Source organism: Homo sapiens, chromosome 16 (genome assembly GCF_000001405.40).
Source record: "Homo sapiens chromosome 16, GRCh38.p14 Primary Assembly".
Taxonomy (NCBI): Eukaryota; Metazoa; Chordata; class Mammalia; order Primates; family Hominidae; genus Homo; species Homo sapiens.
The window spans coordinates 68,239,341-68,261,312 of NC_000016.10; the positions used below are offsets into that span (position 1 = coordinate 68,239,341).

The window sequence follows — 21,972 nt, forward strand, 5'->3', positions numbered from 1 at the left end:
TGCCGGGTTAATTTTTGTATTTTTAATAAAGATGGGATTTCCCCATATTGAACAGGCTGGTCTCGAACTCCTGACCTCGTGATCCGCCCGCCTCGGCCTCCCAGAGTGTTGGGATTACAGGCATGAGCCACCGCTCCCGGCCTTCCTCCAGATTTTCTACCTTCCGCAGGGGTCCCTTCTGTAGTTTGAGATTTCTGTACTTCTCTAAAAATTGTCCCCCACCCCCACCCCACTCCTCGCTCCCCTGGGGTTCATGAATTAATGAATAGGAGATTGGTACGGCAGAGAGGTAAGCAAGGCCCCGACGGCCCAGGCCGCCTGAGGTCAGCCGCCTTTCTCAAAACCGCGTGCCAGATATTTGGAAGAAAGAACTGGGTTCCGTGGGCCTCATACTCGCGAAATTTTACCCTCACCTTGGCCCTCAGGCCTGCCTGGGCTGCACTCCTAAAGGCAGCCGGCGCTGTTGCCTCGGGGACATGAAAGCCCGGGCAGATACAGGGTGGGAGGCGGGAAGCGTGGCGGGTCTCCTGGAACCTCCAGGGCGTCTAGGAGTGGTGCGAAAACGCCCTCCCTCCTTCCCTTCGCTACCAAGAAAGATCTCGCAGTGGAAGAGGATTCGACGCTGGGGATCACCGCGGAGATCCACACTCGTCTGCCCAGACCCGTCCCCGCTCTCAGCGACCCTCCTTATGTCCCGGGCCACCCCACTAGCCAGCGCGTTGGGCCCCACCTCCCGGGTTGGGATCCCCGCACCTGTGCAGAGTGGCTGCCGAGCACCCGCCAGAGGGCGCGCTGACTCCGTTGCCAGAACCAGGGGGGCAGGGGCGTGCGCCCGAGGTCGAGCAAAGCACCAGTACAGTGGTGAAAAGGGGGTCCCCTAGATGCCCCCATCAGGCCAATACCCTTTGGCTTTGTTTTTATTTTATTTTATTTTAATTTTATTTTGAGACGGAGTTTTGGTCTCGTCTCCCAGGCTGGAGTGCAATGGTGCGATTTCGGCCCACTGCAACTTCCGCCTCCCGGGTTCAAGCCGTTCTCCTGCCTCAGCCTCCTGAGTAGCTGGGATTACAAGTGCTCGCCACCACGCCCGGCTAATTTTTGTATTTTTAGTAGAGACGGGGTTTCACCATGTTAGCCAGGCAAATCTCAAACTCCTGACCTCAAGTGATCTGCCTGCCTCGGCCTCCCAAAGTGCTGGGATTAGAGGCGTGAGCCACTGCGCCTGACCTATTTTATTTTGTTTTATTTTATTTTAATTTTTTTGAGACAGAGTCTTGCTCTGTCGCCCAGGCTGGAGTGCAGTGGCACGATCTTGGCTCTCTGCAACCTCCGCCTCCCGGGTTCAAGCGATTCTCCTGCCTCAGCCTCCTGAGTAGTGGGATTACAGGCACGCAACACCACGCCTAGCTAATTTTTGTATTTCTAGTACAGATAGGGTTTCACCATGTTGGTCAGCCTGGTCTCGAACTCCTGACCTCGTGATCCGCCCGCCTCTGCCTCCCAAAGTGCTGGGATTACAGGCGTGAGCCACCACGCCAGGCTTATTTTATTTTTATTTATTTTTGAGACAGAGTCTCATTCTGTCACCCAGGCTGGAGTGCAATGGCACGATCTCGGCTCACTGCAACCTCCACCTCCCAGGTTCAAGTGATTCTTGTGCCTCAGCCTCCTAAGTAGCTGAGATTACAGGCCCACACCACCACGCCTGGCTAATTTTTTGTATTTTTAGTAGAGACAGGGTTTCGCCACATTGCGCAGGCTGGTCTTGAACTTCTGAACTCAGGCAATATGCCCACCTCGGCCTCCCAAAGTGCTAGGATTACAGGTGTGAGCCACCATGCCCGGGCTTTTATTTTATATTTTATTTTTTAAAATTTTATTGAAACGGAGTTTCCCTCTGTCACCCAGGCTGGAGTGCAGTGGCATGATCTCTGTTCTGGGCCCTTTGCCTCCAGGGTTCTGTTGTGGCTGGATCAGTGTTAGGCATCTCGGGGCTGCAGGGAGACTGGCTGCAGAGGAATGGGGGACTGCTGAGCCATGAGCTTTAGGGAGATTCCACCGGCCTCTAAATGGACTCAGCTCTGGCCACCAAATCAGCCCGAAAGCCCTGAGCTTAGTTTGGTTGCCTCAAGCCTGGGATCCACCTAGTTCAGGTAGGGGAGCTTGGAGCTTAGGCCAGCGAGAGGGAGTGCAAAGGGCCAGGTAGCAGGAGGGGCGAAGGGTGTTGGCTGTGTGCTCACCCAAGGAAGATAGCACAACTAGACTGGCTCCTAAGTCTCTGGATTTATTCTGTTGATGAAAAGAGTCAAACTCTGTAAAATATTTGGACACTTTTTTTTTTTTTTTGAGACAAGAGTCTCGTTCTGTCACCCAGGCTAGCATGCAGTGGCGCGATCTCGGCTCGCTGCAAGCTCCGCCTCCCAGGTTCACGCCATTCTCCTGCCTCAGCCTCCCGAGTAGCTGGGACTACAGGCACCTGCCACCACGCCTGGCTAATTTTTCGTATTTTTAGTGGAGACAGGGTTTCATTGTGTTAGCCAGGATGGTCTCGATCTCCTGACCTCATGATCCGCCCGCCTCGGCCTCCCAAAGTGCTGGGATTACAGGTGTGAGCCACCATGCCCAGCCTGGACGCTTTTTTTGGATGGAGTCTTGCTCTGTCTCCCAGGCTGGAGTGCAGTGACATGATCTTGGCTCACTGCAACCTCCGCCTCCCGGGTTCAAGTGATTCTCCTGCCTCAGCCTCCCGAGTAGCTGGGACTACATGTGCCCGCCACCACGGCCAGCTAATTTTTCTATTTTTATAGAGATGGGTTTCGCCTTATTGGCTAGGCTAGTCTCAAACTCCTGACCTCAGGGGATCCACCCACCTCGGCCTCCCAAAGTGTTGGGATTACAGGCGTGAACCACTGTGCCCGGCCCTATTCAGACCTGTGAAAGGTGCTAAACTCTTAATCTCTTCAGGTTTGGGAGGGCCTGGAAGAAAATCTAGCTATGTTAATAGAGATTCTTTACAGATGCAAAATTTCCTCCACAAAGGACAGTTTTGCAGGACCATTTCCAAGTATGGCAAAGAAACATTGTTTTGGAATATTTTGACTTTCTTGTCACCTAATGTTATGCCAGAGTCAGATTGCAAAGTAAGTTCCGATATATAGGATTAAATAAAACCCATCTAATGAGAATTTATGGTTTGTAGGGCAAACCATACAATTTGAGATAGTAATTTGAGCAATATTAAAAAAAAAAAATCAGGGCCGGGTGTGATGGCTCATACCTGTAATCCCAGCACTTTGGGAGACCTAGGTGGGTGGATCACCTGAGGTCAGGAGTTCAAGACCAGCCTGGCCAACATGGCGAAATCCCGTCTCTACTAAAAAATACAAAAATCAGCTGGGCGTGGTGGCGGGTGCCTGTAATCCCAGCTATTCAGGAGGCTGAGGCAGGAGAATCGCTTGAACCCAGGAGGCAGAGGTTGCAGTGAGCCGGGATCACGCCACTGCTCTCCAGCCTGGGTGACAGAGCAAAACTCTGTCTCAAAAAAAAAAAAAAAAAGGTGTCAGCCTGGCATGTGGAGAACGACCCACAGGAACGAGGGCGTGCATTGGGACATCAGTGACGAGGCTGTTGTGGGAATAGGGTAGTGTGGTTTGGGGAGTGTAGAGCTGGCAAGCCCTTATGACCACCTGAGTTGTGGTTCTGAGAAGCATGGAAGCATCCAGAGCTCAGGATGATGCCAAGTCTGCAGCCTGGGGGATCAGGTGGATGGCAGAGTCATTGTGAAAAGGGAGGACCCTCACTTTCTGACCCTTCTCCACAGTGCCAGCATGGGTCATTGCTGACCAGGCCTTGCCATCCTGCCCCTAATGGCTGTGGTTCCTAACACATGCAGGGCCTGTGGGGTTGAAGCACCAAGGAACCCCTCTTGAGGACAGGGCTACCCTTCCAGGGGCCCATGGTCACCGGATGCTGCTGGGCTGGCAAGACATTTAGACTGTGGCCAGAGTCCAAGGTGGCCCAGCACCTCTTGATCCTTCTCTTCCTCCACATAACCTTTGACTGGACTTCTGCCCGTCCCTAGGCCTGCAGAAGAGTCTCTGGTCTCCCACGCTGGGTTTTCACCAGATGGGTCTTCACTGATCTTCTGTTGGGTCACGGGTGAAGGTGGGGGAGGCAGGGGCTTTGGGAGTGGGAGTTCTGAGCCAGGGCCTTAGCGGGAGATGGCTGGACCTTAAGAGAGGGTGGGGCTGGTCACAGTGGCACACATCTGTAATCTCAGCACTTTGGGAGGCTGAGGCAGGTGGATCACTTAAGGCCAGGAGTTCAAGACTGGCCTGGGCAACATAGTGAGACCCCAACTCTACAAAAAATAAAAAACTAGCTGAGCTTGGAGGTGTACACTTGTAGTCCCAGCTACTCAGGAGGCTGAGGTGGGAAGGATTGCTTGAGCCTGAGAGGTCAAGGATGCAGTGAGCCGTGATTGTGCTACTGCACTTGGGTGACAGAGAGACCCTTTCTCAAAAAAAAAAAAAAAAAAAAAAAAAAAAGGAAAGAAAAGAAAAAGGGGCCGGGCACAGTAGCTCACGCCTGTAATCCCAGCACTTTGGGAGGCCGAGGCAGGTGGATCACCTGAGGTTGGGAGTTCAAGACCAGCCTGACTAACATGGAGAAACCCCGTCTCTACTAAAAATACAAAATTAGCCAGGGTGGTGGCGCATGCCTGCAATCCCAGCTACTCGGGAGGCTGAGGCAGGAGAATTGCTTGAATCCGGGAGACGGAGGTTACGGTGAGCCAAGATTGCACCATTGCACTCCAGCCTGGGCAACAAGAGCGAAACTCTGTCTCAAAAAAAAAAAAAAAAAGAAAAAGAAAAAGAAAAAAGAAAGAGGGAGGGTGGTGGTAGCCCAGTCACCAACATGTTTCACTATAAGAACTCGAGAAGGGCAGGGCAAGATAGTGGCTTCATAGCCAGGTCAGCTGCTTACCAAGAAGAAGGAAGGAAGGGGCAGGACAAATTTCTTGGGACCAGGTGGGATGACCAGGGTGCAGCTGCCCCTTCGAAGGGGTGGGTGTGTGGAGGATCAAGACCTCTATTTCCCAAATACTCTCGTCCCTCTATCCCACAGTGACCTATGGTGCTGGCATATAACCAGCTGTCAGGTCTTTGCCCACTCTGTTCGCCCCTGCTTCCTGGCGCAGGGAGTCCATGTCCTCTCTGGTTCCCCAGGTTTGCGAGAGTGGAGGGGGACCACGAGCTCCCGATGCCTCTCCTGCTCTGCAGGGGAACTTGCAGATGGCCCATGGCGCAGGGTCGAGACTCAAGCCCACTCCCAACCCCGCGCCCGAACTGCCCGGACTGGCGGGGTGACGCTGCACTCTGCGCCCCTAAAACGAACAGATTAACCCCTCTCTTGGGAACTGAACATGCTGACCTGGCCTCTCCCGGTTCCCCCCGCATCTGTAACCCCGGGGCAGAGTTACAGGGGCTGACTGGCCGCACCCAGGTGCCCTCGGGGCAGGGTGTGCTAAGAATTGGTGTGGGGGCTGCACAAAGGTCCTGGTCAGCTCCTGGTCACCTGAGGCCCAAGAACTGTCCGGGACTCACTTCCTCTCTTCTTGCTTTAACCGGGGTCGCTCAGCAGCGGCCAGCGCTGCACCCCTTATCCTCTCCCGGTCTTGTCCGTTCCAGATCCTCCAGGTCAGGGGGTCGCCAAGTGAGAGCTGCGCAGCGTGGATTTCGGGTACCCAGGGCTGGGCGGGGTACAGCAGCGGCGAGCTGGGTTCCCGGGTGGGCGACTGACAGCCCGGAGCCAGGCGATACCTCGATCCATCGATGCGCTCGGCGCTCAGCGTGGTCCAGGAAGCAGGGGGTTGGGCAAGGGCGGGGCGGCGACCTCCGACTGGGAGGGGCGTATATGGCGGCGAGTCCCTATTGGCCAGCCATTTGCGGGAGGCGGGCCCTGATTGGCCGGGGGGATGCGGGGGATGCGGGCGGCGGGGTTAAGCGCGTCGCCACCGCCCCCGCCTAGGCGAGAGCCCAGAGAGCTGAACCTGCATCCCGGACCTGCGGCGACCGTCGTACACCATGGGCCTCCACCTCCGCCCCTACCGTGTGGGGCTGCTCCCGGATGGCCTCCTGTTCCTCTTGCTGCTGCTAATGCTGCTCGCGGACCCAGCGCTCCCGGCCGGACGTCACCCCCCAGTGGTGCTGGGTGAGGCACGGGTCTCGTGGTGGATCTGTCGGTCGGGCGGGACGGGCCGCGGGCGGGGCTGCCTTCCCGGTCTGCTTCTGTTCCAGTCACGAAATGGGGGAGCGTATTGGTATCTGTCTTGTCACTTAGGTGATCTAGATCTGCCGGCTCACCTCCCGCCATGCTGGGCGCGGGTGTGGTCAGCTCCCCACCTCCTGTCCTGGTAGAAAATGGGGGTGAGTGGGAGAGTTACCATCTGGTTATTCATAGTTCCACCTGTCCGCATCATTCCCAAGCCTTGCCTCCCCTTATCCCATTTTTAAGCTGGAAAGACAGGTGCTTCAGCCCCACTCCTGAGGGATGGTGGGGGTGTGTAGAGTGGCTCCTGAGTTGACTTCTGCATCGACCTGGGCCTGGTTAGGAGGCTGTCACCCTCGACCCCTCCAATGCCACATATGCCAGAAGGCATTGCTGAAAGGAACCTCCTTAGGGAAAGGATTGCTGTCCTAGCTGGCCACCAACTCCCACAACTTATCAGATGTGTGGCATTGCCTGAGGGAAAAGGCCTAAGGGAAACTGAAGACAACTGAAGTCAGGGGAAAGGGTTGGGACAATGGCCATGAACCTGTGTCAGGCAACATGCTTGTACTCTTACCCTGCCACACATGCTTGGACTAGACTATGTGGAGGCTCGGTGACCTCCCCTGCTCACCCCGCTCCTTGATCACAACCCTGGCAACTCTACAACGGCCACTGTATTTCCTTGCAGGGATGGGCAGGGATGAGACCTCTGTCTGGGGGGCCTTGGGTGCCTCATTGAGGCCGTCACTCCCATCCAGAGCTGGTGTGTCCGTGGCCAGCCAGGATTCCTGAAAGCAGAGGCATCTGAGGCATGAATTACACGTGGAGTCTAGTGCAGCATGATCTCCATGCTCTTTCTGCTGAGAGTACTTTAAATGGGGACGATGCAAATCACAGAAGGGTAGAGTTGGCAGGTAGGGTGGTGCCAGGCAGGCCCCACCAGGAGTTCCCAGCCAGGAAAAGCTCCAGGGGGATACTAGGCCCAGGTTCACCATGGGATTTGGGCAGACTTGGCCCTGCCTCCCCAAAGCTTGCAGGATAGGAATAACAGTGATCCCCAGAGAGGAAGTCTGTGTGGGGCAAGCACAGAGAATCCACCAACCCAGCCTGGATGGGTGGGTGTCAAGTAAGGCTTCCTGGAGTATATAGCTGGAGCTAAGGCCAGGAGAGAGTAATGGGTCGGGGAGAGACGTGAGCATCTCAGGCTGCCTGGGATCGAGTCACAGGAGGAGTGGACTGCACAGGACTTGTGACTGGTTGGGTCATCTGAACTTTATCTTGAGGGCCTCAGGGAGTCCTGGGTTGGCCTGCAGAGTTCTAAGTCTGAGGGGCGTGGCATTAGGAAGCATGTGGTCTGTGGCACACAAAATGGCACATAGCCATTTTGCCTGGATTGATGCTAACCGCACTCATCAATTCAGTCAGTCTGTTTATCCTTGGTCACAGCAGAAGAGCCTCAGACCCCACCCAGAATCACAGAGCAGCAGGAGTCCTAACATGCCCAGCTTCTCAGGGAGTGAGGCTGCTGGCCTTAGCCCTGGGAGACCTCACGGTGGGCAGTTGGATAAGCAGCTCCTGGGCACAGAGCAGGGATCTGACCTTGACTGTCAGAAGATCAGAATCCTCTAGGGGTGGATCCTGAAATGGTGGTGGAGGAAAGAGAGACCAGCGATGTGATACAGAAGACCCTGGGCAAGGGGAAGGGACCATAGGCAAGGCCATTTCCACCTCTTGCAGCCTCAGTCTCCCCATCTGTTAAGTGGAAATAGTAAGGCTGTCCCCTCCCAGTGTTACTTGAGGTGAAAGGCATGTGGATGGCTCTTTTCCTAGTTCCAGGCGCAGATGGGCTCAGGAAGTGGCCACTGCTATTTTTAGGGGCCACACAGCCTGACCAGGGTAAGGAGCATCTGAGCAAAGCAGATCTGGTGACTTCCTCTTTTACCATTTCCCCTTTGGTAGAGACAGTGACCAGGGTCTCTGCCCTGCCCTGCCCAGTCCACAGGCATGTCATCCAGAGGCTGTCATGACAGGGACTCCCTCCCTCTGCACCCATACCATGAAGGGAGGTGAAGGCATGTGCCGCCCCTGCCTCTCATGGCACCCTGAAGACACTGGGATGGTGCCCAGGGAGGGCACGCCCTGTTCAGGGTGGATTTACGGTCAGTTCCCAGTGAATGTCCAGGAGAGCCAAGTGCTGGTTTTTCACTCAATGATCATGGACCCTAAACGGGGATGTGTTTGGGAAGTGGCGAGAGCATGGCATGTGGGGGCAGGTGAGGCCCGAAAGGTCAATGGGAGTAACGAGACTGTGAAGGGCTTTGACGCAGTGGGGAGGGATTTGGGTGTCACCAGGGCCCCAGAGTTCTGAGTACACTGAATAGGATGGCTGGGATGGAGAGAAGTCACCCTAGGGCCTGGACTGTGGTGATAATGGTGCTGGTTCAGGGTGGCTGTTTCCAATACGGGCTCCCAGCCATGCTAGGGCCCTCCAGATGATCTGCTCTCTGGCACCTTACTGGACTCTGGCCTTTAGTAAGGCCTGGGCCCTTGGTAGGCTGGCGGGTGCCAATGTAAGCTTCTCTCAGCTGTGTTTCTGTTCATTTCCCTCCCACCAGCCTGTCCTGCATACTTTGTCTGGTTGAATTTTAGCTGAGTGGCCCAGGGCTCTGTTCTGTTTCCTTCTTCCTCTCTCAGGGCGAACAGGACCCTGTCTTCTATGTAGCCTGGGATAGCTATGGGTGGAAGACTTTTGGGTTCAAGCCTCCAGGGTATATATCTTTTTTTTTTTTTGAGACCGGGTCTTGCTCTGTCACCCAGGCTGGAGGGCAATGGCACGATTTTGGCTCACTGCAACCTCTGCCTCCCGGGTTCAAGCAATTCTCCTGTCTTAGGCTCCTGAGTAGCTGGGATTACAGGTGTGTGCCACCACACCAAGGTAATTTTTTGTATTTTTAGTAGAGATGGGCTTTCACCATATTGGCCAAGCTGGTCTTGAACTCCTGACCGCAAGTGATCCACTCACCTCGGCCTCCCAAAGTGCTGGGATTACAGGCATGAGCCCCTGCGCCCTGCCTCGAAGGTATATATCTAATGACAAGGGCCTTGGCCAAACTTTGGAGGTTCTGGAATGCAAAGGGGTCTCCAAGCCCCTCCTCCCAGGCAGAGCTCCCATCGGGGTCCATTAACCATAGAAACCATGTGTAGAGGTGTGTCTGTGTTTGCTGGGGGTGATTCAGACCAAGATCTCATTTAACAGATACGGAAACTGAGGCCTAGTGTGGGGAGTGACTTCACCCTGAACCCCCTTCCAATAATCTGAATGGCCCAGGAGGATGTTCCAGTGAAAATCCAGGAGACTTACTTTATCTGGAGTTGGAGACAATGTTAGGGCCCTTCCCCAAACATGTCAGGCCTCTCCCAAGCCCCCCACAGGCATCTCTGCACCACACAGCAGTAGCAGCTTTTCTGCACAAAGATGGTTCCCTGGCCTTTGGGTCAAGGTCCCTGCTCTCTGAATTTCCTGCCACCAGCACTGTGCTTTAATTTGAGATGTGGAACTGCACAGGTCTGCCATATTATCTGTGGCTCTTCAGGGGGTCTGCTGCAGACATCAAAGTTCTTGGGAGTCTTGAACCTGCCGGGCTGAGGGCTCACACATGTCCTGTGCCCCCTGCAGTCCCTGGTGATTTGGGTAACCAACTGGAAGCCAAGCTGGACAAGCCGACAGTGGTGCACTACCTCTGCTCCAAGAAGACCGAAAGCTACTTCACAATCTGGCTGAACCTGGAACTGCTGCTGCCTGTCATCATTGACTGCTGGATTGACAATATCAGGTGGGGGCTGGGGCACACAGAGGGGGGTGCTGCTCACCAACAGTGCCTGAGAGGCCTCCAGAGTCTGTTCCTTCTATCCTCATCTCGAGGTCACTGACCTCTCTCCTTCCCCAGGTCCTCGGTCTGGTCTGGTCTGGTCTGGTTGGCACCACCTCTGCACTCCCAGGCAGAACTAACTTTCCCTTCCTGCTGCCCTTGTTCCTCTACTCTCCAGTCCTGGCCTCTCATGCCTACACACAATTTTTTTTTTCTTTTATTTTGGGATGGAGTCTTGCTGTGTCACTCAGGCTGGCGCCATCTCAGCTCACTGCAACCTCCGTCTCCCAGGTTCAAGCGATTCTTGTGCCTCAGCCTCCCAAGTAGCTGGGATTACAGGTGCCCGCCACCATGCCTGGCTAATTTTTTGTATTTTTAGTGGAGATGGTGTTTCACCATGTTGGCCATGCTGGTCTTGAACTCCTGAGCTCAAGTGTTCTGCCCACCTTGGACTCCCAAAGTGCTGGGATTACAGGCATGAGCCACTACGCCTGCCTACACAAAATTTCTGTGTCCCAGCCCCTATTCAGAGCCTCGGCATGGCCCCCACCCCTTTCCTTGTCTGTGCCTCGGCCTCCCCTACCTCTCCAGCTGCTTATTCTTCTTGGGACATGCCATGTCTTTGTACCTGCTGTTCTTTTGGCCTGGAATCTATTTCTACACCCTTTGCCTGATAAATGGCTTCCATTCACTTTTTTTTTTTTTTTTTTTTTTGGAGACGGAGTTTTGCTCTTATTGCCCAGGCTGGAGTGCAATGGCGCGATCTCGGCTCACAACTCTTTTTTTTTTTTTTAACTTTTATTTTTTGAGACAGAGTCTTGCTCTGTCGCCCAGGCTGGGTGCAGTGGCGCTATCTCGGCTCACTGCAAGCTCCGCCTCCCGGGTTCACGCCATTCTTCTGCCTCAGCCTCCCAAGTAGCTGGGACCACAGGCGCCCGCCACAGTGCCCGGCTAATTTTTTGTATTTTTTAGTAGAGACAGGGTTTCACCGTGTTAACCAGGATGGTCTCCATCTACTGACCTTGTGATCCGCCTGCCTCAGCCTCCCAAAGTGCTGGGATTACAGGCGTGAGCCACCACACCCAGCCCCATTCACTCTTTAAAACATGACCCTAGGCCAGGCATGGTGGCTCTGCTATAATCCCATCACTTTGGGAGGCTGAGGCAGTCAGATCACCTGAGCTCAGGAGTTGAAGACCAGCCTGGGCAACTTGGTGAAACCCCATCTCTACCAAAAATACAAAAAAATTAGCTGGGCATGGTGGCATGCACCTGTAGTCCCAGCTACTTAGGGGGCTGAGGCAGGAGAATTGCTTGAGCCAGGGAAGCAGAGGTTGCAGTGAGCAGACCACTGTACCCAGCCTGGGTTGCAGAGCAAGACCCTGTCTCAAAACAACAAAAACCTGACCCTGGTCCCTTTGTGACATGTCCCTTTTGACTCCCCAGAGCGGTTTGCCTCTCCTCCCAGGCCCCATGCTTGCTTCCTCTAAACATCATCATGTGCCCGAATTTGTCTGCAGGCATGTTTGCCCAAATTGCACAGGCACTGTACATTTTATATACTTTCTTTCAGTTAGTCTTACAGCAACCCCGTTTTGAAATAGGTGCTGTTTTCTTTTTTTTTTTTTCACCAGTGTTACTTGCCAACAGGTGGTTTTTAAACCTGCTTTACAACTGCGAAATCTGGAGGCTCAATGAGGTTACAAAATTGACTGTGCTCACTCAGCTAATAAGTGGTAGAATCAGAATTCAAATCCAGAATGTGTGGCGTTGAGCTGAGGTTCCCTCCCAGGCTGAGTTCCGTGAAGGGAGGGAGTGTGTGTCTGTTTTATCCTTATAGCAGTAGAACCAGAAACACAGTTGGCGCCTGATAAATGTTTGAGCTGAATGGAGTCTCCCAAATTAAAAGTTTTTCCTGGTCGGGTGCGGTGGCTCATGCCTGTAATCCCAGCACTTTGGGAGGCTGAGGTGGACAGATCATGAGGTCAGGAGTTCGAGACTAGCCCGGCCAACACAGTGAAACCCTGTCTCTACTAAAAATGCAAAAATTAAGGCCGGGCATGGTGGCTCACGCCTGTAATCCCAGCTAGTCAGGAGTCTGAGGCAGGAGAAACGCTTGAACCTGGGTGGTGGAAGTTGCAGTGAGCTGAGATCGTGCCATTGTACTCCAGCCCAGGTGACAGTACAAGACTCCATCTCAAAAAAAAGAAAATACAAAAATACAAAAATGAGCCGGGCGTGGTGGCACACGCCCATGATCCCAGCTACTCGGGAGGCTGAGACAGGAGAATCACTTGAACCTGGGAGGCAGAGGTTGCAGTGAGCAGAGATGGGGGCACTGCACTCTAGCCTGGGTGACAGAGCGAGACTGTCTCAAAAAAAAAAAAAAAAAAAAGTTTTTCCCAGAGACCCGCTAGCTGCTCCTCCAGGTGCCCTGGCCTGCCGGCTGTTTGTGATGCCCATTTTGATGACTCCTTCCTCCTCTGTGTGTTGTGTGACTGGGGTTATTTCTGGGCTGTTGATGTGCATTTCTATTTTTATACTGGGGACACAGCCTCAGGTGCTGCCAGTTGGAGGTGCCAGCTGATACCAAGAGGGGCCTGTCTGCCTTCACTGCTTCTCTGACCCGTTTAGATTTTCACCCAGCGCAGAACTGCTTTGGCTTTCCAGAACAGTTTTCTGCATTTTGCTGTTTGATAATTTATTTTTAGTAGCAACAAGCTACTTTGCTATGTGGTCATTGGGATAATCTACAAATTGCCCTGGAGAGAATGGGCCTCCAGGACCTGTTATCTGGGTCAGTTGTGGGGATCCTGTCAGCTTCAGTGGCTGATATCTAAGTGGGCAAGTGGGACTCAGGACCACCAGAAACTCCAGGTTCCTGTGTTTTGGGGGCACATTTGCTTCTTCAGTGTGTGGCGAGGCCAGAGCAAGGTTCCCAGCCTCGCACAGAGGCACAAGGCTTTTCTCCTGGTATAAGGTGTCTCCCCTGGCCCATCACCCTGTTCCCATCATTTCTTCAGGCCTTGACAACCCTCTTCCCACAGGAGATGGTGCAGCAGCTGTGTACTGAGCCCTGAGGCGGGGTCTGTCCTGTCTGGTTCTGTTTGGCACTGCAGCTACAGAAACTATGAGATCACGTGTGTGGTGTTAGAAGCTGCTGAGTCTGTGGTAATTTATTACACAGTTCTAGAAAACTAATAGGCTGGGTGCAGTGGCTCACACCTATAATCCCAGCACTTTGGGAGGCTAAGGCAGGAGGATCGCTTGAGCCCAGGAGTTTGAGACCAGCATGAGCACATAGTGTGGCCCTGTCCCTACAAAATAAATAAACAAATAAATAAATAAATTAGCCAGACCTGGTGGTGCCTGCCTAGCTGTTCAGGAGGGTGAGGTAAGAGGATCACTTGAGCCCAGGAGGTTATGGCTACAGTGAGCTATGATCTCCTCACTGTGCTGCAGCCTGGGCAACAGAGTGAGACCCTGTCTCAAAAAAGAAGAAGAAAGAAAAGTAAGAAAGGGCTGTTAGGGATCTTAAGTCAGTAGCTGGTGGTCCATGTCCTATGTCATGGCGCTTAGGAATTTGCTGGGCAAGCCCTGAGCCTTGTGGCTGCAGTCTGACAGTTGATACAGCCCTGGGGTACTGGGAGGTCATAGGAGCATGGTTCATTCCCTTCCTCCATGGAGGATGTGTTTGGAGGTTGGCTGGCTGCTGTGTCCAATGCGCAGAGGAAGCGGGACCCAATTATACCTACCTGGGGCCACACAAGGCCTTCCTCCTGTCTCTCCCCACCAGCTCCCATCATTTCTCTGGGCCTTGCTCCTTCTCCTACCTGCCTACCCACCCATACAGCAGCCCTGAGGCATGGTGCCTTTCTAGGGTTTGTTTTTGTTTGTTTGTTTGTTTTTTTGAGACAGAGTTTCGCTCTTATTGCCCAGGCTGGAGTGCAGTGGCGCAATCTCGGCTCACTACACCTCTGCCTCCCAGGCTCAAGCACTTCTCCTGCCTCAGACTCCGGATAACTGGGATTACAGGTACACGTCACCATGCCTGGTTAATTTTTGTGTTTTTAGTAGAGATGGGGTTTCACCCTGTTGGCCAGGCTGGTCTCGAACTCCTAACCTCAAGTGATCCACGTGCCTCAGCCTTCCAAAGTGCTGAGATTATAGGCGTGAGCCCCTGTGCCTGGCCTAGTGTGTTTTGTTTTGTTTTTTTTTTTTTTTTGAGACAGGGTCTTACTTTGCTGCCCAGGCTGGTGTGCAGTGGCATGATCACGGCTCACTGCAGCCTCAATATCCCAGGTGCAAGTCATCCTCCTGCCTCAGCCTTCCAAGTAGCTGGGACCACAGGCCTGCACCACCATGCCTGGCTAATTTTTTATTTTTAGTAGCAACAAGGCCTCACTGTATTGCCCAGGCTGGCCTTGAACTCCTGGCCTCAAGCATTCCTCCCACCTTGGCCTTGCAAATTGTTGGAACTACAGGTGTCAGCCACTGCACCCGGCCCCTGTCTGGTTCTGTTGTGTACTGCACTCACCACCTCCTTCACCTGGGATACGTTGGGCTGGCAGGAGCTGGATGCAAGGAGATGGAGCGATGGAAAGCTGAAAGAGGGTAGACTGCCTCTTGGGGTCCAGTGTGAAGTTCACGGCAGAATCAGGACTGGTACTTCCTTCTCCCAACCAGGTCCAAGACCCTCATTCTAGAGTAGGGTCACGGGGGAGAGGGGAATGTTGCTTTGACAGGGGTCCTGGGGTCAGTATTTGGAGTAAGTATGCCTTGGTGGGGTCCTCATTTGGATGTAATTACTCTGATCTGTGCTTTTTATTTTTATTTATTTATTTATTTATTTATTTATTTATTTATTTATTTTTTTGAGACAGAGTCTTGCTCTGTCGCCCAGGCTGGAGTGCAGTGGTGTGATCTCAGCTCACTACAACCTCCGTGTCACAGGTTCAAGCGATTCTCCTGCCTCAGCCTCCTGAGTAGCTGGGATTACAGTCGCCTCCCACGACACCCGGCTGATTTTGTATCTTTAGTAGAGATGGGGTTTCGCCATGTTTGTCAGGCTGGTCTCAAACTCCTCACTCAGGTGACCTGCCAGCCTCAGCCTCCCAAAGTGCTGGGATTAACAGGCGTGAGCCACTGCACCTGGGCAATTTTTGTATTTTTAGTAGAGACAGGGTTTCACCATATTGGCCAGGCTGGTTTCAAACTCCTGACCTCAAGTGATCCTCCCACCTCAGCCTCCCTAAGTGCTGGGATTACAGGTGATCTGTGCTTTATCAACCTGCTTTGTTACTTTTCGGTCTCTCCTATCCATCTGACCAAACCTGGGCATGAGAAGGGAGTATGACTCAGGACATGATGCACTGTTGGGACACACCAAGCTCAGTGTCCCCTCCGGGTCACTGGCTCAATATCCTCTCACAACAGGCTGGTTTACAACAAAACATCCAGGGCCACCCAGTTTCCTGATGGTGTGGATGTACGTGTCCCTGGCTTTGGGAAGACCTTCTCACTGGAGTTCCTGGACCCCAGCAAAAGCAGCGTGGGTATGTAGCCCTTACTCAAGGCCTCCGGGAGCTGGGATGGGGTTTCTGCCGGACTGGAGCTGGAGCTGGAGGAACTCTGCTGGTTTGTAGGGACAGCCTGTGAGCTGTCTCTGATCAGCGTGGGCACAGAGCCCTGTAGCATTCTTCCAAGGACCTGCTAGCTGTCACAGTCTCCATGCTGGGCATAGTGTAGGTGGCCGGCACTAGCTGTATCTTTTCTTATCCTCTGTATTTCTGTCTACAGGTTCCTATTTCCACACCATGGTGGAGAGCCTTGTGGGCTGGGGCTACACACGGGGTGAGGATGTCCGAGGGGCTCCCTATGACTGGCGCCGAGCCCCAAGTAAGCAGGCACTCTCATTCCCTCCCTGACGTCTCGGGAGGTAGGGGTGAGGTGATCATGGGCACCACAGACCTTGGGCTCTCCCCTTGTCCTTGGCTGTCTCCTGTCCCTGGGCCTCTGGCATCCAGTCTAGTGGTCACAGCCACCACCTTTGGTCAGTCTTATCCTGTCCTCCATTTCCCACCCTGGGACCTCTGGGCCTGTGAGCCCTGGGGAGAAATATAAGGCTTCCTCCCTTCATGGAAGGCGGGGGGACCCAGACCGCTCTGTTTGAATGTGAGCACCCTCCCCTCCCCCTCTCGTCTTGTGTCTGGCCTGAGAAAAGCTCAGTGGTTCCGGCTCCAGGACCCTTCCCACCTGACCCCTGCCTGGCTCTGGCCTGCAGATGAAAACGGGCCCTACTTCCTGGCCCTCCGCGAGATGATCGAGGAGATGTACCAGCTGTATGGGGGCCCCGTGGTGCTGGTTGCCCACAGTATGGGCAACATGTACACGCTCTACTTTCTGCAGCGGCAGCCGCAGGCCTGGAAGGACAAGTATATCCGGGCCTTCGTGTCACTGGGTGCGCCCTGGGGGGGCGTGGCCAAGACCCTGCGCGTCCTGGCTTCAGGTAAGACCCTACCTGGCCCAGCGTGGGGGGCTGTTGCCAGGAATTCTGCCCTCTCTTCCCTTCCTAAGTGTCCTCCTGGGCCAGCATGCCTCGTGTCTGTCCCACGGTGTGTGGGGTCTATGCAAATCTACCCCTAAAAGTCCAAAGAAGAAAGAGGCTGACAAATCTAGTTTCTCAGAGAAAAGCATTTAATAGGGACATACGAATAGAAGCCACATCTGTGTCTCAGGTGGGGGCAAGACAAGATGGTGGATCCCCACACTATTAGCCCCCAGACCCAGAGCTTATATTCTGTAGGGAAAGGGCGACTCCGATGCGATGTGTTGAACATTGAAGGATGATAACACAGAGGCTGTTTTGATTTATGGTTAAGTACGTGCACAAGAAACAGTAGATAAAGTGGAAATCTCAGTGGCCTTCCTGGATCTGGGGTTAATCAGAAGCCAACATGGTGGATTAGTATCCAAAATGGAGTTGCTTTGGTCTCCACAATGACTATTCTCTTGGGTCAGCCCTGTTTTTTTTTTAATTTTTATTTTTTGAGACAGAGTCTGGTTCTGTCACCCAGACTGGAATGCAGTGGTGCAATCTTGTCTCACTGCAACCTCTGCCTCCCGGGTTCAAGCGATTCTGCCTCAGCCTCCTGAGTAGCTGGGATTACAGGTGCCCGCCACCATGCCTGGCTAAGTTTTGTGTTTTAGTAGAGATGAGGTTTCATCATGTTGGCCAGGCTGGTCTTGAACTCCTGACCTCAGATGTTCCACTCGCTTCGGCCTCCCAAAGTGCTGGGATTACAAGTGTGAGCCACTGTGCCTGGCCATCCCTCCCTCTTACCCCATCCTTACTTCTTCATCCCCACCTTCACCGCAGAGGAGGAAGGCTAGAGCATTTTTTTTTTTTTTTTGGAGGCAGGGTCTTTCTCACTCTGCCATCCAGGTTGGAGTGCAGTAGCGTGATTTTGGTTCATGCAACCTCCACCTTCCAGGTTCAAGTGATTCTCCTGCCTCAGCCTCCCGGGTAACTGGGACTACAGGCGCGTACCACCACACCCGGCTAATTTTTGTATTTTTAGTAGAGACTGGGTTTCACTATGTTGGCCGGGCTAGTCTCTAACTCCTGACCTCAAGTCAGGAGGATCTGCCTGCCTCAGCCTCCCAAAGTGCTGGGATTACAAGCATGAACCACCGCACCCGGCCAGATTTTTTTGTATTTTTAGTAGAGATGGGGTTTCACCATTTTGGTCAGGCTGGTCTTGAACTCCTGACCTCAAATGATCTGCCCACCTTGACCTCCCAAAGTTCTGGGATTACAAGGATGAGCCACTGCACCTGGCCTCTAGACTACAGTTTTTTATTTATGAGTTGCGCCTCCATCTGTGGGCAGCACGGAGCCTCTGTAGGCAACACAGGGAGGAAGCAGGTGCAGATCTGGCTGGGCCTGCTTGCCTGGCAATTGGGAAAGCCACCCCTTTTATGGCTCCTCCCCCGTCTTTTCATGACTGTTGCAGCTCACCAGCTGCAGCTGTAGAGTAGAGCTTCTTCCTCTAGAAGGGAGCTTTCCTCCCTCTGCTAGGACTTGGGGGAGGCTTATGGACCCTCACTTTGGGAGCTATGAGCCAGGGCTGTGCCAAGCATCTCATGAGCTCAAGTGCCTGCCACTGCTTGACCTGCTTGGTCTACTGGCATTGTGATTGGGTCAGGCCCAGTGACTCTGAGTTGGCTGGAAGACACTCAGATTTAGTGAGGACTCATTATAGCCACCACTTCGGTCTAGCCTGGGCCTGGAGGGACGGATGTGGGCATACCCTGAGTTTAGACAGGTAGCCCCGGCCCCTTTCAGAGTTTCTCTGTGAGTCCCCTTAGAGCTTTGTTTCAAAGGCTGGGAAGCTGTTCTGTCCTGCCTTGGCAGTCCAGGACTGGGTGTGTGGTGCGGGGAGGTGGAAGTCCGTGCACCCCTAGGGGCTTTCCTTGCCTCAGGGGTCCCCCAGCCAGGCCACAGCAGGCAGAGCTGAGGCCCTACAGTCAGTCTGAGAGGCCTCCCTGCTTTCAGATACAGGGTGGGGTGATGGGTGACCATGGATCCTGAACAGGCCAGAGGCCCCTGTTCCCAAGTTGCAGCTTTTACTTCCTGGAGGCCTCCCTGACTGCCGGGTGTTTGTGTTGTTCACATTCCTGTGTATAGGGACTCCGCCTCCATCTGCAGCCTCCCCTCGTGCCCTGTCTCCAGCACGCCTGGCTGCCCAGGTCAGCGCACATGCAAGTGGGTGGAATGAGGCCACGGCTGGCTGAACGCTGGTCTGAGCTTAGGAAAAGAAAAACTGGTACACAGTTCAGTGTCATAAAAGGGAAAGCAGAACATGTCATCTCCGAGTTGCCAACCTGCTGACTCACTTTAGACTAGGTCAGTGCCCACAGGCCTGATCAGCACTTGGAGGATGGTAGAGTTTACAGGCAAGGAAGCATCATAAATCACCCTGTGGGTATGTGCCGCCTTACTCCCTGGTGAGGAAAGCAAAAAAAACAAAACATAGCTTGGATGTGTGGTTCCCAGATGTAGCAAAAATAAAGAGAAACAATAAAAGCCAAGGCAAGCAAACTGGGCAACATAGCAAGACCCCATCTGTATAAAAAGTGGAAACATTTTTAGCCCAGGCGTGGTGGGACGTGCTTGTAGTTCCAGCTATGCAGGAGGCTGACATAGGAGGATCACTTGAACCCAGGAGGTGGAGGTTGTAGTGAGCCAAGACTGTACCACTGCACTCCAGCCTGGGTGACAGAATGAGACCCTACTTCAAAAAAAAAAAAAAGGAAAAATTTGCCAGGCATGAGGCATGGTGGCGCATACCTGTAGTCCCAGCTACTCCAAAGGCTGAGGCGGGAGGATTGGTTGAGCCTGAGAGGTTGAGGCTGCTGTGAGCCGTGATCATGCCATTATACTCCAGCCTGGGCAACAGAGTGAGACCCTGTCTCAAAAAGAAAAAAAAAGAGCCAAGGCAGGGATGGGAGTCACAGTGATTACAATGATGATAACCGGGTAGAGATGCGGGACTGTGGACTGGGCCCCTGGCTGGGGTCTGGCAGGGGCCTGGTGGTGAACATGCTGCCCAACCAGCTGGCATTCCTAAGCACAGACTGACCAGAGCCTTCTCCCTGCAGGAGACAACAACCGGATCCCAGTCATCGGGCCCCTGAAGATCCGGGAGCAGCAGCGGTCAGCTGTCTCCACCAGCTGGCTGCTGCCCTACAACTACACATGGTCACCTGAGAAGGTGTTCGTGCAGACACCCACAATCAACTACACACTGCGGGACTACCGCAAGTTCTTCCAGGACATCGGCTTTGAAGATGGCTGGCTCATGCGGCAGGACACAGAAGGGCTGGTGGAAGCCACGATGCCACCTGGCGTGCAGCTGCACTGCCTCTATGGTACTGGCGTCCCCACACCAGACTCCTTCTACTATGAGAGCTTCCCTGACCGTGACCCTAAAATCTGCTTTGGTGACGGCGATGGTACTGTGAACTTGAAGAGTGCCCTGCAGTGCCAGGCCTGGCAGAGCCGCCAGGAGCACCAAGTGTTGCTGCAGGAGCTGCCAGGCAGCGAGCACATCGAGATGCTGGCCAACGCCACCACCCTGGCCTATCTGAAACGTGTGCTCCTTGGGCCCTGACTCCTGTGCCACAGGACTCCTGTGGCTCGGCCGTGGACCTGCTGTTGGCCTCTGGGGCTGTCATGGCCCACGCGTTTTGCAAAGTTTGTGACTCACCATTCAAGGCCCCGAGTCTTGGACTGTGAAGCATCTGCCATGGGGAAGTGCTGTTTGTTATCCTTTCTCTGTGGCAGTGAAGAAGGAAGAAATGAGAGTCTAGACTCAAGGGACACTGGATGGCAAGAATGCTGCTGATGGTGGAACTGCTGTGACCTTAGGACTGGCTCCACAGGGTGGACTGGCTGGGCCCTGGTCCCAGTCCCTGCCTGGGGCCATGTGTCCCCCCTATTCCTGTGGGCTTTTCATACTTGCCTACTGGGCCCTGGCCCCGCAGCCTTCCTATGAGGGATGTTACTGGGCTGTGGTCCTGTACCCAGAGGTCCCAGGGATCGGCTCCTGGCCCCTCGGGTGACCCTTCCCACACACCAGCCACAGATAGGCCTGCCACTGGTCATGGGTAGCTAGAGCTGCTGGCTTCCCTGTGGCTTAGCTGGTGGCCAGCCTGACTGGCTTCCTGGGCGAGCCTAGTAGCTCCTGCAGGCAGGGGCAGTTTGTTGCGTTCTTCGTGGTTCCCAGGCCCTGGGACATCTCACTCCACTCCTACCTCCCTTACCACCAGGAGCATTCAAGCTCTGGATTGGGCAGCAGATGTGCCCCCAGTCCCGCAGGCTGTGTTCCAGGGGCCCTGATTTCCTCGGATGTGCTATTGGCCCCAGGACTGAAGCTGCCTCCCTTCACCCTGGGACTGTGGTTCCAAGGATGAGAGCAGGGGTTGGAGCCATGGCCTTCTGGGAACCTATGGAGAAAGGGAATCCAAGGAAGCAGCCAAGGCTGCTCGCAGCTTCCCTGAGCTGCACCTCTTGCTAACCCCACCATCACACTGCCACCCTGCCCTAGGGTCTCACTAGTACCAAGTGGGTCAGCACAGGGCTGAGGATGGGGCTCCTATCCACCCTGGCCAGCACCCAGCTTAGTGCTGGGACTAGCCCAGAAACTTGAATGGGACCCTGAGAGAGCCAGGGGTCCCCTGAGGCCCCCCTAGGGGCTTTCTGTCTGCCCCAGGGTGCTCCATGGATCTCCCTGTGGCAGCAGGCATGGAGAGTCAGGGCTGCCTTCATGGCAGTAGGCTCTAAGTGGGTGACTGGCCACAGGCCGAGAAAAGGGTACAGCCTCTAGGTGGGGTTCCCAAAGACGCCTTCACGCTGGACTGAGCTGCTCTCCCACAGGGTTTCTGTGCAGCTGGATTTTCTCTGTTGCATACATGCCTGGCATCTGTCTCCCCTTGTTCCTGAGTGGCCCCACATGGGGCTCTGAGCAGGCTGTATCTGGATTCTGGCAATAAAAGTACTCTGGATGCTGTAAGGTGCCCTGGCCTACATTCTGCTCTGAGCATGAGGGGAGGGAGGTGGTGGAGGTACAAGGTGGCTACAGAGGCAGGAAATTAGGGGCTGGGCCTTTACAGGAGCCTTGACAGGTTGTCTCAGCATCAAAGCATGGTTCCTGTGCCCTTCTGTGGACCTCATCCTCCTGTCCTCTCTCCTGGAATCCAGTTCCCTTCCTGGGACTAAGAACCAGAACCTGAAACATTCCTGTGGAAATGGGGTCCTGTCCTCCCC

At 54.1% G+C, this 21,972-nt stretch overlaps 1 protein-coding gene across 5 annotated transcripts, besides 3 other annotated features; it reads left to right on the forward strand.

Annotated features, from left to right (window-relative positions):
• Positions 4,839–5,377: an enhancer, noted in NCBI's record as "H3K4me1 hESC enhancer chr16:68278082-68278620 (GRCh37/hg19 assembly coordinates)". NCBI's record gives its function as "activates a minimal SCP1, AML or CMV promoter by ChIP-STARR-seq in primed H9 embryonic stem cells {active_cell/tissue: H9 hESC(primed)}" and the evidence as "EXISTENCE:reporter gene assay evidence [ECO:0000049][PMID:30033119]".
• Positions 5,853–6,082: a silencer, noted in NCBI's record as "silent region_7644". NCBI's record gives its function as "represses an Ori minimal core promoter by ATAC-STARR-seq in GM12878 lymphoblastoid cells {active_cell/tissue: GM12878}" and the evidence as "EXISTENCE:reporter gene assay evidence [ECO:0000049][PMID:35858748]".
• Positions 6,033–21,718, forward strand: PLA2G15 (phospholipase A2 group XV). 5 transcript variants are annotated; one of them, XM_011522979.3, is made up of 7 exons: positions 6,033–6,213; positions 9,950–10,106; positions 14,082–14,177; positions 15,579–15,697; positions 15,942–16,040; positions 16,426–16,650; positions 19,806–21,718. In XM_011522979.3, exons 1-7 carry the CDS (start codon positions 6,087–6,089, stop codon positions 20,315–20,317), a joined length of 1,335 nt encoding a protein of 444 aa, XP_011521281.1. In that variant the 5' UTR covers positions 6,033–6,086; the 3' UTR covers positions 20,318–21,718. The 5 variants fall into 5 exon arrangements, with proteins under 5 accessions (XP_011521281.1, XP_011521282.3, NP_036452.1 ...); XM_011522980.4 differs by having other exon boundaries at positions 16,551–16,650; NM_012320.4 differs by lacking the exon at positions 14,082–14,177.
• Positions 6,499–6,999: an enhancer, noted in NCBI's record as "H3K4me1 hESC enhancer chr16:68279742-68280242 (GRCh37/hg19 assembly coordinates)". NCBI's record gives its function as "activates a minimal SCP1, AML or CMV promoter by ChIP-STARR-seq in naive H9 embryonic stem cells {active_cell/tissue: H9 hESC(naive)}" and the evidence as "EXISTENCE:reporter gene assay evidence [ECO:0000049][PMID:30033119]".
• Positions 21,719–21,972: the final 254 nt, after the last annotated feature.

What these genes read in the sequence shown, in the direction of transcription:
- PLA2G15 (XM_011522979.3), top strand. Translation starts at nt 6,087, where the DNA reads ATGGGCCTCCACCTCCGCCCCTACCGTGTGGGGCTGCTCCCGGATGGC. An exon ending in CCCCAGCAAAAGCAGCGTGG is followed by an intron (nt 15,698 to 15,941) that starts GTATGTAGCCCT and finishes TTCTGTCTACAG; the next exon opens with GTTCCTATTTCCACACCATG. An exon ending in CCTGCGCGTCCTGGCTTCAG is followed by an intron (nt 16,651 to 19,805) that starts GTAAGACCCTAC and finishes TTCTCCCTGCAG; the next exon opens with GAGACAACAACCGGATCCCA.